At 42.7% G+C, this 15,547-nt stretch overlaps 1 long non-coding RNA gene across 1 annotated transcript in view, besides 4 other annotated features; it reads left to right on the top strand.

The window, feature by feature from the left end:
- LOC105378102 (uncharacterized) overlaps positions 1-15,547 on the top strand; it is a 155,467-nt gene that overhangs the window by 26,961 nt on the left and 112,959 nt on the right. The window lies entirely within an intron of this gene.
- Positions 10,271-10,962: an enhancer, noted in NCBI's record as "OCT4-NANOG-H3K27ac hESC enhancer chr6:164361763-164362454 (GRCh37/hg19 assembly coordinates)". NCBI's record gives its function as "activates a minimal SCP1, AML or CMV promoter by ChIP-STARR-seq in naive H9 embryonic stem cells {active_cell/tissue: H9 hESC(naive)}" and the evidence as "EXISTENCE:reporter gene assay evidence [ECO:0000049][PMID:30033119]".
- Positions 12,547-13,200: an enhancer, noted in NCBI's record as "NANOG-H3K27ac-H3K4me1 hESC enhancer chr6:164364039-164364692 (GRCh37/hg19 assembly coordinates)". NCBI's record gives its function as "activates a minimal SCP1, AML or CMV promoter by ChIP-STARR-seq in primed H9 embryonic stem cells {active_cell/tissue: H9 hESC(primed)}" and the evidence as "EXISTENCE:reporter gene assay evidence [ECO:0000049][PMID:30033119]".
- Positions 14,098-14,599: an enhancer, noted in NCBI's record as "H3K4me1 hESC enhancer chr6:164365590-164366091 (GRCh37/hg19 assembly coordinates)". NCBI's record gives its function as "activates a minimal SCP1, AML or CMV promoter by ChIP-STARR-seq in primed H9 embryonic stem cells {active_cell/tissue: H9 hESC(primed)}" and the evidence as "EXISTENCE:reporter gene assay evidence [ECO:0000049][PMID:30033119]".
- Positions 14,600-15,100: an enhancer, noted in NCBI's record as "H3K4me1 hESC enhancer chr6:164366092-164366592 (GRCh37/hg19 assembly coordinates)". NCBI's record gives its function as "activates a minimal SCP1, AML or CMV promoter by ChIP-STARR-seq in primed H9 embryonic stem cells {active_cell/tissue: H9 hESC(primed)}" and the evidence as "EXISTENCE:reporter gene assay evidence [ECO:0000049][PMID:30033119]".

The raw sequence follows: 15,547 nt of genomic DNA on the forward strand, positions 1-15,547 counted from the left end.
AGCAGACAGACAAAAATGAACAAAACCCCTAAGTCTGGTAGGAGCCAGGGGTGTACTCTTTAAATCCAGGGTCAGACACAGCAAGCATGAGCCTATCTTCCCAGTCTAACCCACCATGGCTCTTAGACACTCAGTAATAAAGTGGTCATTATCCTTTGTTTAAAACTCTCTTTCTCTTTACTGAGGATATCAGGCAATACCACAGACTCGCAGGAGCTGATAAAGGAATGTCAGATTTTTTTTTTAATTGGTTCTTTTTTTTATTATTATACTTTAAGTTCTAGGGTGCATGTGCACAACGTGCTGGTTTGATACATAGGTGTACCTGTGCCTTGTTGGTTTGCCGCACCCATCAACTCATTTACCTTAGGTATTTCTCCTAATGCTATCCCTCCCCGCTCCCCCCACCCCACGACAGGCCCCAGGGTGTGATGTTCCCCGCCCTGTGTCCATGTGTTCTCATTGTTCAATTCCCACCTATGAGTGAGAACATGCACTGTTTGATTTTCTGTCCTTGTGATAGTTTGCTTAGAACGATGGTTTCCAGCTTCATCCATGTCCCTGCAAAGGACATGAACTCATCCTTTTTTATGGCTGCATAGTATTCCATGGTGTATATGTGCCACATTTTCTTAATCCAGTCTATCACTGATGGACATTTGGGTTGGTTCCAAGTCTTTGCTATTGTGAATAGTGCTGCAATAAACATACGTGTGCATGTGTCTTTATAGTAGCATGATTTATAATCCTTTGGGTATATACCCAGTAATGGAATGGCTGGGTCAAATGGTAATTCTAGTTCTAGATCCTTGAGGAATCGCCACACTGTATTCCAGAATGGTTGAACTAATTTACACTCCCACCAACAGTATAAAAGCATTCCTATTTCTCCACAAGGAATGCCAGATTTTGTAGTAATAATAAATTTTTGTGCAGAAATATATATGTGGTACAGTAATAGTGAAATGACAGACAGAAGGGTTTCGGCATGGGCTGCCCATTTTCCCCTGGACCCCATCACATATGCTGCAAATCTTAGACATCTGCAGATATGTGTATGTGAAGCTTGAGCTGCAACCTGTCCATATTGTATTTTATTTTTGTTTTTGCAATTCACTCTCATTTTTATTTGCTCGGCAAACATGTTGTCTCTATTACATAATTGAAGAGCAACCAGAGGTTCCTATTAATGAATAGTTAGCGCTAAGGATCTGTAATCACAGATTCTTACAGGAGATGATGGAAAATGCCAAGCAACTTTAGAAGAGTTTCCTTCAGAAGAGCTGTTTCAGAGCCTGCTGTGTAAGGAGGCTGTGTCTGTTGTTCGGATTAAAGTTTGTGAGAATGAATTTTCTCACTGGTTTGAAGTACTTAATGATATTCACGATATGAAGTAAAATATATACATGTTCACTTTCCTTCAAAAATATATTTGATCTTTTACTGTGTGTAAAATCGTCTCTTAAATATTGGGGAGGGGAAGAGAGATGAATCAGACCTGAATCCTCTTACAAGCAAGATTGTTGTCTGGGAGGAGAATAGAGACAGATAAACCAGCTCTACTGTGAGGAAGAAGGTAGTGGCTGGAGGAAAGCAGAGATTGCACTATCGTAAAAAGCTGAATGAAGGACAGTTACCCAGAGGAGACAATGTTCAAGCTGGGTCTTGAAGGATGTGTGCCAACAGATGTCCCCACTTCCCATGTTCAAAACTGAACTCCTAATCTTGCCTCCTCTTCCCAGCCCTCCACAGCCCTCAGTGCTGACTGCGTCCTTCCTGTAGCTCAGGCTATACACCTGGAGTCCTCTTTCTCAATCCTTCAGCAAATTATATCTGCTACATCTTGAAAATACGTCCTAATGAGGCTCAGATGGAATCATTGTCTTGTCCAAATCGTGTGTCAGTGATGAAGCCAGCATTTGAACCCAAACTGCCTTACTCCAGAACTCATTCTCTGTATTGCTCCCCAAGTGTAACATGGAGGGAGAACATTTATTTTGTGTGTAGAGGCTGATCCCGTATGGAGAGGAGCATTAGCTTCAGACGGTAGATTGGGATCAGATCATGGCGGGATTTAAGCTCTGGGTAGAAGAGCTGGAATTCTATTTCACAAACCACAGAGACGTTTGATAATTTGGGGAGGCAAAGGGTGGAATCCAAATGCTACTTCTGGATGAGTCGTGGCCAGAGTGAGAGGTTGCTTGAAGAGAAGCATCTGGAAGTGGAGGCTCTTCCAAGGGTTGGGATGAGAAGCACTGAGACTCAATGAGCAACGGGACTGGAAAGGAAGCAGTGGAATTGGACATTTCAGAGGTTAATTAAACCTAAGTTTGGAATTTATTGGCTTTGGAGGCAAGGAAGGGATGCTCAATGATCTTTTCCCACTTTCTTTGACACATAATTTACATACAATAAATGCACTGAGATTGAAGTGAACCTGTATGGTTGGAGATAGTGATGTTATTAACAGAACTTTATTTTGGAAGGAAAATGAAGGAGAAGTTCAACTGATTTTGAGGTGCTTACGGGTCATTCTGCTGAAATTATCAAATCAGGCAGATAGAGACATGAGGATGAAGAGGGGTGCCTCAAGATTAAGCATAAGTCACTTAACTTTTACATCAGCAGTATTTCAAATTAAATAATCTGAAATTTCTCCATCAGTAATCCATCACCAGACAATCTGGACAATATGTATTATATAAAAAATATTTTAATTGCAGAATTGAGCTCATCAAGCAGTAAGTTCCAGAAACTATGAATGAAGTAGAAGTCAGATCTAAGACCATGAGCTTAAAGCTGGTATCCTCAAGTGGCTATAGCAAGAGTAGAAAGTTTCAATTAAAAATGTACCCACAAGGGAGGGAGGCCACTACAGAACTTATGTGTCTTAAGTTCTGCACATAAAATAATCTCCTCTAAGTTTTTGTAAGCATAACAGTGCCCTCGAACTACTTATAGGGTTGAAATATATATTACCTATGTGGTCCAGGAGCCCATAAGGCAAAATAATTATTTAAAAAGTGATCCTAGGCTGGTAATACTCCTGGAGCACCTGATAAAATTCAACACAAAAGAGCTATAGTTTTATATCTTCATCCAAGGTTACAAAAGACTCCCTCCGATAAAGTCCAGCTGAAGATGTGTTTCTGCAAGGAACAACTCCAGTATGAACAACAGGCATAGGACAGTGTAATGTTGGTAGAAGGAATAGAAACATAGAAGGATGGAAGAGAATGGAGAGCCCAGCATTAGACTGCAAGATTTCAGAAAACAGCACACAAAATTGGTAGAGAAAAGGATATAAATTCACTAACCATCGTGGAAATCGGTTACTATATTTTAGAAAGGTAGATTATGTCTGTACCTCCCTCTGTACACCAAAATCAATGAAAACAGTACAACTTTCAGAAGATAAGGAGAACATATTTCTGATCTTATAGTAAAAAGTGATCTCTTAAATATGATATACTAAGGACAAACCTTAAAAGATTATGAAAATTAAAACTTCTTTACAATGAGATGACTAAAAGGGCTAAGAACATTGGAAGAAGATATTCGCGAATGCCTAGAATCCACACAGGATTAGCATCCAGAGTTTATGATGAAATCCAACAATTCAACGAAACAAACCAAGTAAAAATTAAACTATATAAACACAATTTAAAAAAAAGATAACCTAAATGGCCAATAATATATGAAAGGATGTTCAACCTTTTGATTTAATGCAGATTAAGGTAATAGTGTGATGTAATTTGAAACCTGGAACTCTGACATGACAAGCTTAGGTATAGGCAGAGCCGTAGGGCACCTCAAACACTGCTGCTGAGAACATTAATTGTTGCATCTTTTGGGGAGCAATTCAGCAAAAGTAGTAATACTGAATATGGTCCTATCTGTGATACCACAATGTCCCTCCTGGGGACATACCCTGGACTTCAGGACTTGGAAAGACTCTTCTACACACAGCAGATAAATCATGGAAGCCACAGGGTATACAGAGATACAAGAAGGCATCAAAGATGGATCTTTGCAGAACCTCTGCCTGAAGGAGACAGAAGGGGCATCTGGAAAGAAAGGAGGAGACCTCAGAACACAGGTCAGGGCTGCCAAAGACAGAGAATGCCAGGAAAGAGGATTGGCCTGTTGTATCCAATACCACTGAGTTTAGGGAGGAGGATGTCTTCAAAGGGTCTGTTGAATTTGTTTGTTGAAAACCATTGAGGAAAATCTTGAAAGAACTCTACGCAGAGTGATGAGGACGATATGACAGGGATTAGCCTATGTGTATTGAGAGGGCGTGGGAGCCTGAGTGGTCGTTTGAGTTAAATGTTGCGCTTAAGAAAAGTAGATGAGTTATTCAGTAAGACTGGTTGTGAGAAGAAGGAGGAAAATCAACTTATTCACTTGTGGATATGTCAGGATCAAAGGAAAGATGGTTTTGTTTTCTGGAGACCTGAGACAAGCTGTTTACAGAGAAGTCGAGAGAATAAAGTTACAAGAGGAACAAGAGTGATAGAGTGGGACCCGTATCTGTAAGATTTGATTTCTGCTGAGAAAAAAATAAAAAGAGGTGTTTTTATATACTTTGAATTGGAATTTGCATACATTGGAAAGTAAGGAAATTTTACAGAATGAAACCCTAAAGGGTGTTCAAGTGCTTAGTAACTGTGATTCCAGGACCAGATGACATGTGAAAATTACGTTGTTTTTAATTGCACTCATCTCAAGATTTTTTTCTTTTGTCTTCTTCTGGATTTTTGTTTGTTTGTTCTTAGTCAGGCAAGGAAATAGTTTCATTTTAAGATCTTGGGAACTGAGGGGTGGAATGCTGTCTGTATTTTCTTCACAAACTTTTGGCAAGAGTTCAGATTTACCTTGTGGAATGTATTATATGCAACTATGGTATTCAGAACAGGACTTTGTTTGTCTTAACAATCCTTTTTTTTTCTTTTACTAGTGGGAGAAAGTCAGGGACAAAATTCAAATTGCATTTCTTTCCATGACATTTTTAAAAAATATAAATGCACCCTGGTGGTCTCTCTTCTGGGTTGGACAGAGCTGGTTTCCTCAGCCCCGGCCTGGCTTCCTGTGTCCCAGCTGCTTCCTGCCCCTGCGTGGCCTATGCATCCCGGATGCTGCTGTGGGTCCTTCTGCCCAGCCTTGGCTGCCCGCATAGCAGAGCCTCTGACTCCCAGCTTAGTGCTCATAACATAAAGGCACTAATAGCCCCAGAGAGCTTGACTTCAAGACCTCTCTCTGAAATCATATTGCAATAGCAGGTCGTCTTGTCCACAGAAGCCTCAAAGTAAACCTCTTCCCGGGGAACATCACACTCTGGGGACTGTTGTGGGGTGGGGGGACGGGGAAGGGATAGCATTAGGAGATATACCTAATGCTAAATGACGAGTTAATGGGTGCAGCACACCAGCATGGCGCATGTATACATATGTAACTAACCTGCACATTGTGCACATGTACCCTAAAACTTAAAGTATAATAATAATAAAATAAAATAAAAAGAAAACCTCTTCCCAGAGCCCCAAGGGGGACATCAGGGTATATGGGGGTGGTGGCAAGAGAGGCCCTGGTTTCTGTGTTATCCTCACCCATCTGAAGTTCTCCGCTCTCTCAGGGTATAGCCTAGAGATTTCTACCTTTGACTCTCTACTCTTATATTTTCTTCTTGATGTTTTCAGTATATCCTAGACCATAACTAAGTAGCAGACTTCTTTTCCTTGTCTCATGTCATTTTTTACAAGTAGTAGAAGCACAGATCTCATCCTAAGTGAAAGGGGGACCATGTCCGAACTCTAGGAGAGAGGGGCACGGATGCGGGTCTTCTGGTCCTGGTTTTTGATGCGCTAAAGGAGGAGATAAAATAGTAGTGCTTCCTCTCCAAACAGTATTTGGTTCATGAGCTCAATATTCAAAATATTGAACAATTCAACAATATTTAGTTATTGTGCTACAGAATCTTATTTTACTATAAAAAGCTGTAAAGCTACAAAGAAAAAAATATTATACAGATTGTTGGTTTTACCCCCTAAATCCATTCTTCTACAAGCCAAAAATAAAAGTCAAAGCATGTCAGCCAACTGATGGGCCCTCCCCTTGGCCAAGGGCATTCCAAAGTTAATCTGAAAAATGAATTCAGGCCACAGTGGGAAGTGGGGGTAAGATATGCCTCATGATCCCTTCCTTTCTTTGGAATTCAGGCATAGCTGACCAGCATTAACATTAAAACAGAAACCTTAAGACTGACAAACAGACTCTTTAAGTCTGATAAGAGACATTTAAAATCTATTTTCTCTGAAGCCTGCTGCAGGGAGGCTTCATTTGTGTGATAAAACCTAGATCTCCTGGACCCCGTATCTTAACTCAGATACTCCCTTCTATTGATTCCAGGTCTTTAGATGAACTCTTTCAACCAATTGCCAATCAGAAAATTGCCACCTATGACCTGGATGCTCCCTGCTTTCAGTTTTCCCATCTTTTCTGACAAAACAAATATAAATTTTACATATATTGATTGATATCTTATGTATTTATTGAGGTCTTATGTGTCTCTGAAATGTATAAAACCAAGTTATAGCCTGACCACCTTGGGCACATGTTCTCAGGATCTCCTGAGAGCTGTTTCACGGGCCATTGGCCACTCATATTTGACTCAGAGTAAATCTTTCAAATATTTTATGGAGTCTAACTCTTTTTGTTGACACTTCTTATCTTGCACTCGTGTTAGAATTTCTACATAGGCATGCTGCTGCCTAGCCAGCCCATGCTTCCAAGATTCCCTTGCAGCTCATTTTGGCCATAAGTCTATGTCCTGGCCAGTGGTGTGTACAGAGAGGGATATGTGGAGCTTCCAGGTGGTGCCTCCTCTTCCCTTCTGCTGTCCAGGATACCAATGTGGGATGAGCCAGCATTGGTGCAGAGCATGGTACGTCATGAACCCCACATATCCGAGAGAGGTCTCAGTCAATTTAGTAAGTTTATTTCACCAAAGTTAAGGATGTGTGCCTGTGACAGCCTCAGGAGGTCCTGGTGACATGTCCCCAAGGTGGTCAGGGCACAGTTTGGTTTTATACATTTTAGGGAGACCTGAGACATCAATATGTTAAGATGTATGGTGGTTGGGCTGGAAAGGCAGGACAACTAGAAGTAGGGAGGGGGCTTCCAGGTCGTAGGTAGATAAGAGACAAATGGATGCATTGTTTTGAGTGTCTGATGAGCCTCTCCAAAGGAAGCAATCAGATATGCATTTATCTCAGTGAGCAGAGGGATGACTTTGAATGGAATGGGAGGCAGGTTTGCCCTAAGCAGTTCCCAGGTTGACTTTTCTCCTTAGCTTAGTGATTTTGGGGTCCCAAGATTTGTTTTCCTTTCACAACCTTACGGAAGACAGAGCAACAAGGCAGGAGGAGGGAGCTGCCCTTCCAGCTGGATGTTCCTCTCATCTCAGTATTTTATGAGAGAGAAATAAACTTCCAACTTATTTAAGCTACTGTCATTTATGGTTTCTGTGATAGTGGCCAAACCTATATTCTAACAAATCTGCATGTTGATAACTTTGAAAACATCACCCTGATTAAATTAAGATGGCGTAGTAACACTGAACTTCACAAAACTTCTCAGGATACAGGCCATGCAGACAAGCTGAATAAATGATTAGTGAACCAGATAAATACATAGGAAACATTCTTAAAACATTAAAGTACTTGCAAATTTAAGGTAATGGTACATGCTTATTTAACTTGGTAATCTGGAAGCTAGCCTTATCCCAAAGCCTTTTTTGTCACGTTATTTTTAGTAAGCATGAATGTGAATGCCTACCCTTACGCTAATCCTGGTTGATTAAATGAGGAAGAACCTATCTGTGGGACAATCAACCCAATCAACCCACAGAGGGACATTAGAAGTAGAGGAAGCTTTTGCTGGTGTGACCATTTGGTGAAAGTTGCCTTTAATATTTGAGTCATACATGATTGCAGCAGCTGTGCATTTGATGTTGATAAAAACAAAATAATCTCAGATTGTTTCAGTGAGGGGTCAAAGTAAAATATTGCCATCTTCTATTTATTAACTTATGGGTGGTAGGTGCAGGAGTTAGGTGTAAAGCAGGGCTTTTTTTCCCCATTTTTTTTAATGGTAAGAGTGAACCTGTTTTTGAGGTCATGGTCACAAAATGTGGATGTCAAATTGTGCTGTCTTTCAAAGGGGTTCTCAGGTGCATCTCCGGAATGTATTGTCAGAAAGCTCTGGGGGCCCCCTGTTCAAGAAGTCTTGCTGCCATACTGCCGCACTGATTAGATGTTTTCCAAGCTTCAAGAAGCTGCTTCTTGAAAGGATTGTTTCCCCAAGGCCCAAGAGGAAATGATTCTCACGGGGTTGGGGCTGTCCTGTCCATGACACGCCTGACGCTGTCAGATCTGAACGAATTCACAGACAGACGGACTTGTCACCATGAACTCTGTGTGCGTCATCACCCAGGGCTCAGGTGCAAGGTTGTCCCCTTCTCGCCTGGCCTCTGTGATCGTCTTAGATAGCAATGTTAACTTGCCCTGTTAGTGGAACGGGAAAGTAAAATATTTTCTTATTTCAAGCCTGTGTCAGTCTATTCTTATACTGCCGTAAAGAACTACCTGAGACTGGGTAATTTATGAAGAAAAGAGGTTGGATTGGCTCACAGTTCCACAGGCTGCACAGAAGCATGGCTAGGGAGGCCTCAGGAAGCTTGACAATGGTGGGAGGCAAAGGGGAAGCAGGCACCTTCTTTCCATGGTGACAGGAGAGAGAGTGTGCGGGGGAAAGTGCCACACACTTTTAAACCATCGGGTCTCATGAGAACTTACTACCATGAGAACAGCAAGGAGGAAGTCCGCCTCCATGACCCAATCACCTCCCACCAGACCCCTCCCCTGCTTACAGTTCGAGATGAGATTTGGGTGGCGACACAGAGCCAGACAAAGTCAAACCCTTTGCATTCCAACCAGTCATCCCTAAGTTTCGCTACATTTATTGTGAAGATTTTAAGGTTGTGGCAGCAAATATAGAGAAGTGGTGTGGCCCACCCCAAATCCACAGGAACGAGCTTGGAAGGTACCATCATGCACTGTGTCTCATGGAGTCCCTCTGTTCTAGGTGAAGTCCGACTTTCCCTGGAAGACCGAGGCCTCTCCCCTTGCACCACAGCCTCACTTTATCATCATCCCTCAGCCTCACAGCGGGTTTTCCAAACCTTAGTCCACCAGGTGCTTTCCAGCCCCCGTCCAAAAGGCTGCTCCCATAGCCCACCCAGCCCACTCACCCCCGGAACTCTTCAGGTCCCACCCAGGCTCCTCAAGGGTGGCTTTTGTGCTCCCCACAGCTGTTACCGATTTCCACTGCACCTTGTGCTTTTACCTTGTATTTTATTATGATTCATTACTTTAATGATTATTGGTTTAATATCTTTGCCTCCATTCGACTGGGAGTTTCAAAAATTGTAGAAACTCCATTTGATGTGTTTTGCTACTGTGTCTCTATTGGTCAGTAGTGACATGACGAGTAGTTTTGAATGAATGCGTGTATGCCTTTTAGAGTCCACTAAACCTAGGATTTCCCTGGGTTTCTTGTGGCTCTATGATGTGCTGGGCATGACTAAAAATTCAAGTTGAGTAAGATAGTCCCTATTCTTAAAGACCATATATTCTTGCATTCTTTAGGTCAGCCTCCTGTTTAGAACCCATTGAACTTTTGAATTTAGAATTCACCTGTTGGGAGGCCTTTTTAATAATGCAGGTGTGGGTGAGGAATGTCTCACCTGGAGAAGCTGCAATTGGCATGTATGGAAGGGAAGCTGAGGAGGTTTAAGGAAAGATGAGGTTTGTTAACTGATGCGGACTTGGAGTTGAAATTAAATGAGCAGAGGTGAGGCCAGAGGGCAAAAACAGAAGAAAGAAGGAAGGAGATGAGGACTTAGGAAAGGAAACAGGATCAGGGAAAGAGGTAGGGGAAGCAACAGAAAATGTCAGCATCATGGAAACACAAAAGCAAAGTGCTTCTGATGTGTAATGGGGGCAACAGAATGAAGACCTTCAGGAACATGGTTTTGTGCACTGGTAGGAGTGGGAGTGAGGCCACAGAGGCTGAGGGAAAAAGAGAGGGAGCAGGCAATGTGACTTCAGGCCACCCACTCAAGATTTTATCCTGAGGGGAAGGAAAGAAGGATGGCTCTGCTAACCTCCAGCTGCCTTCCAATGCCAGGACCTGAGAGTGTGAGACTCCCTGGTGGCAACGATGTTTCTCTGGGATGATTTTTATGATGTGTGACTAGAGAAGGTAAATAGAAGATGCAGTGGAGCCCAGCGAAAACCTTTTTGGGACTTCAAGAGACCTACCCATGTTTCAAGGCAGGGGTGTCAAAGGTGATTGAACCAGAGCGACTCCATCTTGAACGGGGGCTGGGTAAAATCAGGCTGACACCTACTGGGCTGCATTCCCAAGAGATTAAGGCATTCTTAGTCACAGGATGAGATAGGAGGTCAGCACAGGGTACAGGTCACAAAGACCCTGCTGATAAAACAGCATGTGGTAAAGAAGCTGGCTAAAACCCACCAAAACCAAAATGGTGACAAAAGTGACAGCTGGTCGTCCTCACTGCTCATTATACACTAATTATAATGCATTAGCATGCTAAAAGACACTCCCTCTAGCGCCATGACAGTTTACAAATGCCATAGCAATGTCAGGAAGTTACCCTATATGGCCTAAAAAGGGGAGGAACCCTCAGTTCTGGGAATTGCCCAGCCGTTTCCTGGAAAACTCATGAATAATCCACCCCTTGTTTAGCATATAATCAAGAAGTCTATAGTCAAGAAGTATAATCAGTTGAGCAGCCTATGCTGCTGCTCTGCTTATGGAGTAGCCAGTCTTTATTTCCTTTACTTTCTTAATAAACTTGCTTTCACTTTCCTGTATGGACTCATCCCAAATTCTTTCTTGTGGGAGGTCCAAGAACCCTCTCTTGGGGACTGGACTGGGACGCCTTTCCTGTAACCGGGAGAACAGGGCCAGTGCTGGGAACTGGCAGGGCCTGGGGTTGGGGTGTGGGGATGGAAGGTTGAACATAGAACACAGAAGGAAGACCCTGAGGGGACCCAGCGCCCTAGAGCACTCTAAGCCAGGGGAAGCCTTTCTTCCTGGAGACAGAAGGAGGAGGGGCACGCTTCCATTGCTCCCCCTTCAAATCCTCTAGGGAACACACTGGTGCTTTTAACAACAATCATCGTGTGTGCAGCCCTCCCTTAACCTGCCTTCCCACACTAGCATGGAATCCCCACGGAGGTGCGGCTCTCACTGGACAAGCACAGACCAAGGTCTGCAGGAGCAGGGTCAAGGGAGGTGCTCTACAGGGAAAAACGCACCGTCTGTGTCTTTGACAGGGCAGTGGGAAACATTTGGAACTGAAGAATAGCGAAAATGAAGGTTCATTTCCAGTGGGTGTGGGAGAAGCCCTTTACCAGTTACTATCAATTATTGCTAGTTACTGATCTGCTCTGGTCTTCAGAGCATCCTGACTCAATGCCTCTTTCTGGGAAGGACGGGAAGGGAGGGGAGTTGGGGGAGAGGAGGAAAGGGAGGAGAGTATGTAATAGTGACCCAGGAAGTAAAGCAACAAGCCCAGGGTTTGCATCTGCTTCACATTTTGAGAAATAATGTTTTAAGTGGATCTTGAACAATTCTATGGGGGAGGACAGAACAGGTGAGTTGGGAGGATGTCAAAGAATCAACACCGATGCCAATGTCCTAACATCTTTGTGATAAAAAGGCATTATATTCATGAGGGAGGTGAATGAGGGAAGAGATGGATTTAAAAATGATTTCTAGCTTTGATGGACAAATCATATTTCTTATTCACCAAAGCTCTAAATGGCTTTCAATCTTTAATAACTCCTTTCATGCCGTATAGTCCAAGAAACCTTTCAAAATGGTAAGATTGCAGCTCAGTTACACATAAATAGGCTGAACTTTTTTTTACAAGTTTGAATTTAAATGATGAAAATTGACATTTTCATCTTGCAAAAGAAAATGAATTGCAGATCTCCTAAATAAATACTTACAAACAAAATGCAAACGTCTTTGAATCTGAAAGCTTGCCTGTGAATGACAAGGGAGTTTTTGCCTGGGTAGACTTTGAAGCATTCTGTAAACCTTTTAAAGAAAGGAGTGCCTTTGAAACCTCAAAAACTTGTAGTACTAAATATTTTAGTGGTGATTTATGAACAGTGTTAAAAAATATGCCTTTTCTTTCATTAAAAAAAAAGTTCTAACACTTAGCAAAATGATGAGGATTTATGTGTTAAAATGTTTTGCAGGGCAGCTTCTGAGTAATAGATTCATAAATATTTCCCTTTTTAAATTTAAAAGTAAAAATAAATTAGAAAAAAAACACCACCAAATTAAAGGTATTCAGTTAAATAGAGAAGATGAACTTCGGATTTTCACCTGACCTCACAGTGTTTGAACACTGAACTACACCCCCTCATCAAAGGTAGGCAGGAATGACCCTCTAAAAGTTCCTCTCTGTCACCCTCCCTCTAGCGTATATACACGTGCACATGCACCCCAACAGAATACATCAACATTTTGACTATTTACTAAGTTTGCTTTAAAATCATGCTTCTCTCAACACTGACTATTTTCTATTTAGGTTATTACTATTAAAAAAAAATATCTGGCCAGGTACGGTGGCTCACGCCTGTTGATCCCAGCACTTTGGGAGTCTGAGGTGGGTGGATCACCTGAGGTCAGGAGTTCAAGACCAGCCTGACCAATATGGTGAAACCCCATCTGTACTTTAAAAAAAAAAAAAATAGCCAGGTGTCGTGGCATGCGCCTGTAGTTCTAGCTACTCCAGAGGCTGAGACAGGAGAATGGCTTGAACCCAGAAAGCGGAGGTTGCAGTGAGCCGAGATCGGGCCACTGCACTCCAGCCTGGGCGACAGAGGGAGACTGTGTCAAAAAAAAAAAAAAAAATTCCCATGTGCCCAGAGCATTTTAGGCATATGAAAATGTAATTTAAAACTGATACACAATGATTGTGTGTTATGCAGGTAAAGAGTTAAGAAATAGTCCTCATGAGCTGCTTGAAGAGGGGATGAAAAATGAGACAAGAGACGAAAGGATGGCAGGGTCTTTCGGGCAGCGTGGGGGCTCCCCGTTGCTGGGTCCTTTTATGCTTTGTGATTGAATCCAGCCAGACCTCTGAGCACTCCTCTCCTTTTTGCTTGTGTGGCGATGGGGGTTGTTGCTGGGGAGAGGCAGGGGGAGTGAACGAGAAAAAAGAAAAGTTGGCCACACAAATACAATGCCAGAGACTGTGGTCCCAGTTCTATGGGGGAGAGCGAGTGGGAAGTTGCCGGAGCTCCACAAAGCAGCTCTCGTTCCCATGGAAACCGATGTTTAGTGCTGAGTGCCTCGCTTGACTCTGCATAGCCCCCTTCCTCTGTCTTTTTAAATCTCTGTTGGAGATGCATTGTCTTCTTGGGTTTTTTTGTTTGTTTGTTTTGTTTTAATAAAAATAAAGACGATGGAGAAGAAAACACTTTCCGCCTCAAGACATCCCGTGGATAGGCTGATGACACATATCCTGGGTGGGTTTGAAATCTGGCTGGATCTCCCCAGATCTAAGATCTGGTACCTTGTCTTCCAGCCATGTACTGACAGGCCACCAAGAGCTGTGCCAGGCAGAGATTGGCAGACTAATTTGAATACCAATGCTGCTCTCGGCTGGCTTCCAGTTACAAGGCGGGGAGGCCCAGGAGGGCAGGCAGGGTGGGGACAGGGGTGGATTCAACAGAGGCTTCTGGGGGGAGAGGGGGAGTTCTCCCACCATTATGTGCTTCCTTCCTTCTCTTACTCCCATGCCCCTTCTCTGCTGGGTTATTGGCAAGTCTACTTTCTATTCTTCAAGGATTAATGCCTCAGTGCAAGAGGAAAATTGGCAATTAAAAATATCTCAAAGCCTGGGATTTCTGTCGCTTTATCGTTTTCCAGTTAGATTTCATCAGGATGCCACTGCACAGAGAAGTTTAGGGCTTTTGTTGTTGTTTGTCAAAGAGTTTAAAACTATGAGCAGGATGTTTTTATCTTCAGAGAAAAAAGACAGGCAACCTTTTGTGCTAATGGAGCTTAGCTAACATCTATAAGCAGGGAGAATTTCTAAGGGGAAAGTGAGTTACTATAATACTCTCTAACAAAATAATCTGCTTATAAAAAATAAGATACTAGGTTCTTATCAGAACTGCTGAATATAAGTTATTTGGTACTTTTCCATACTTGAAATTTTTAAAAATCAGAGATTATATATACTTATGGAAATTCCTCTCACACCCCTCCAATAAAATATTTTAAATGTAAAAGATGATAAATGTGCATCTCTGCATTGTGAACTATCGTGTTGAAATAATTTCTCAGCTTCTGAGATTCTAATGAAATTCTCCAGGCAGGTTGAAGTGCTGAATCCCCTGGTGGAAGCTCCGGAGGAACCTTCCTCCCGTCCCCGTTGGCGGCTGGCAGGCTGTGGTGGTTTCGGGCAGGGAAGGGCCCCGCAGTGTCCCTCCTGTGGCCACACACACTCCTTTATTGCTCCAGCGCCCACCTGCTGCTTGCACTTGCGATTTGGGTGGCGTGATGCCAGTGACATCAGACAGGCCAGGGTATTGTCCCAGTCTCAGGGAAGATATAAGTTGTCATCATCAGTGAATATTTATTAGGTGTTCATAGGCACAGGACTTCATGCAAGGAGTGATCAGCAGGAGACCAGGAAACACAGAGGAAGCCGGATCATTTTTGGGGTGCAAGGCACCTTGTGCCGGTGATCACTCGTATGCCAGTTTTATTTCTTTGTAAGTGTGAAAAACGTGGCCCCCAATTTCTGCATCATTATTCTAACAAGGTTGGCAAAAGTCCTAGGCCTTTGTTACAGAGCGACAGCTTTTCTCTTTATATGATATTTTTGAGGTTTATTTATGGAAAGCCTTAAACGTTATTTTTTTCATGATTATCCTTTAAACCTAGTGCATTATTACCTGGGAAAACTCAGGGAAGATTTCTTGTTCAGAGCTAAGCAAAATAGTATTTACTGTAAGATGTAATGACGCAGCCCAAGTGGGTTTTTATTTCTAGGCTGGTCATGGTCATAATAGTGACTTTGCCGAGTTTTGAAAACGTATCTGTACAGAAGATTCAAGCTAGAAGAAAACACTAGTTATTGGAGGAAGTCTTTTACTGTGGGCAGCACGGAGGTCACCTTGTCTGTATGCCTGGGAGTTTTCTCCTTGCCCAGCCTATGAAATTAATGGTTTAATAGAGAGGGAAAGTTCAACCTCAAAATGTAAATCTTTAGCCCAGTTAATAGACACACTGGGGCACTGTATTAACTTGCATTTATATTCAAGCGGCGCGGTCACTCTGAAATCCTCCTCTGTGCCGGAAAGCAGCCTCTGCAGGAACTTGAAAGGGCCTAAAGCATGTGGGTTACTGGGTGAACCCCAAATAGTCA

Source organism: Homo sapiens, chromosome 6, assembly GCF_000001405.40.
Source record: "Homo sapiens chromosome 6, GRCh38.p14 Primary Assembly".
In the NCBI taxonomy this organism is placed as follows: domain Eukaryota; kingdom Metazoa; phylum Chordata; class Mammalia; order Primates; family Hominidae; genus Homo; species Homo sapiens.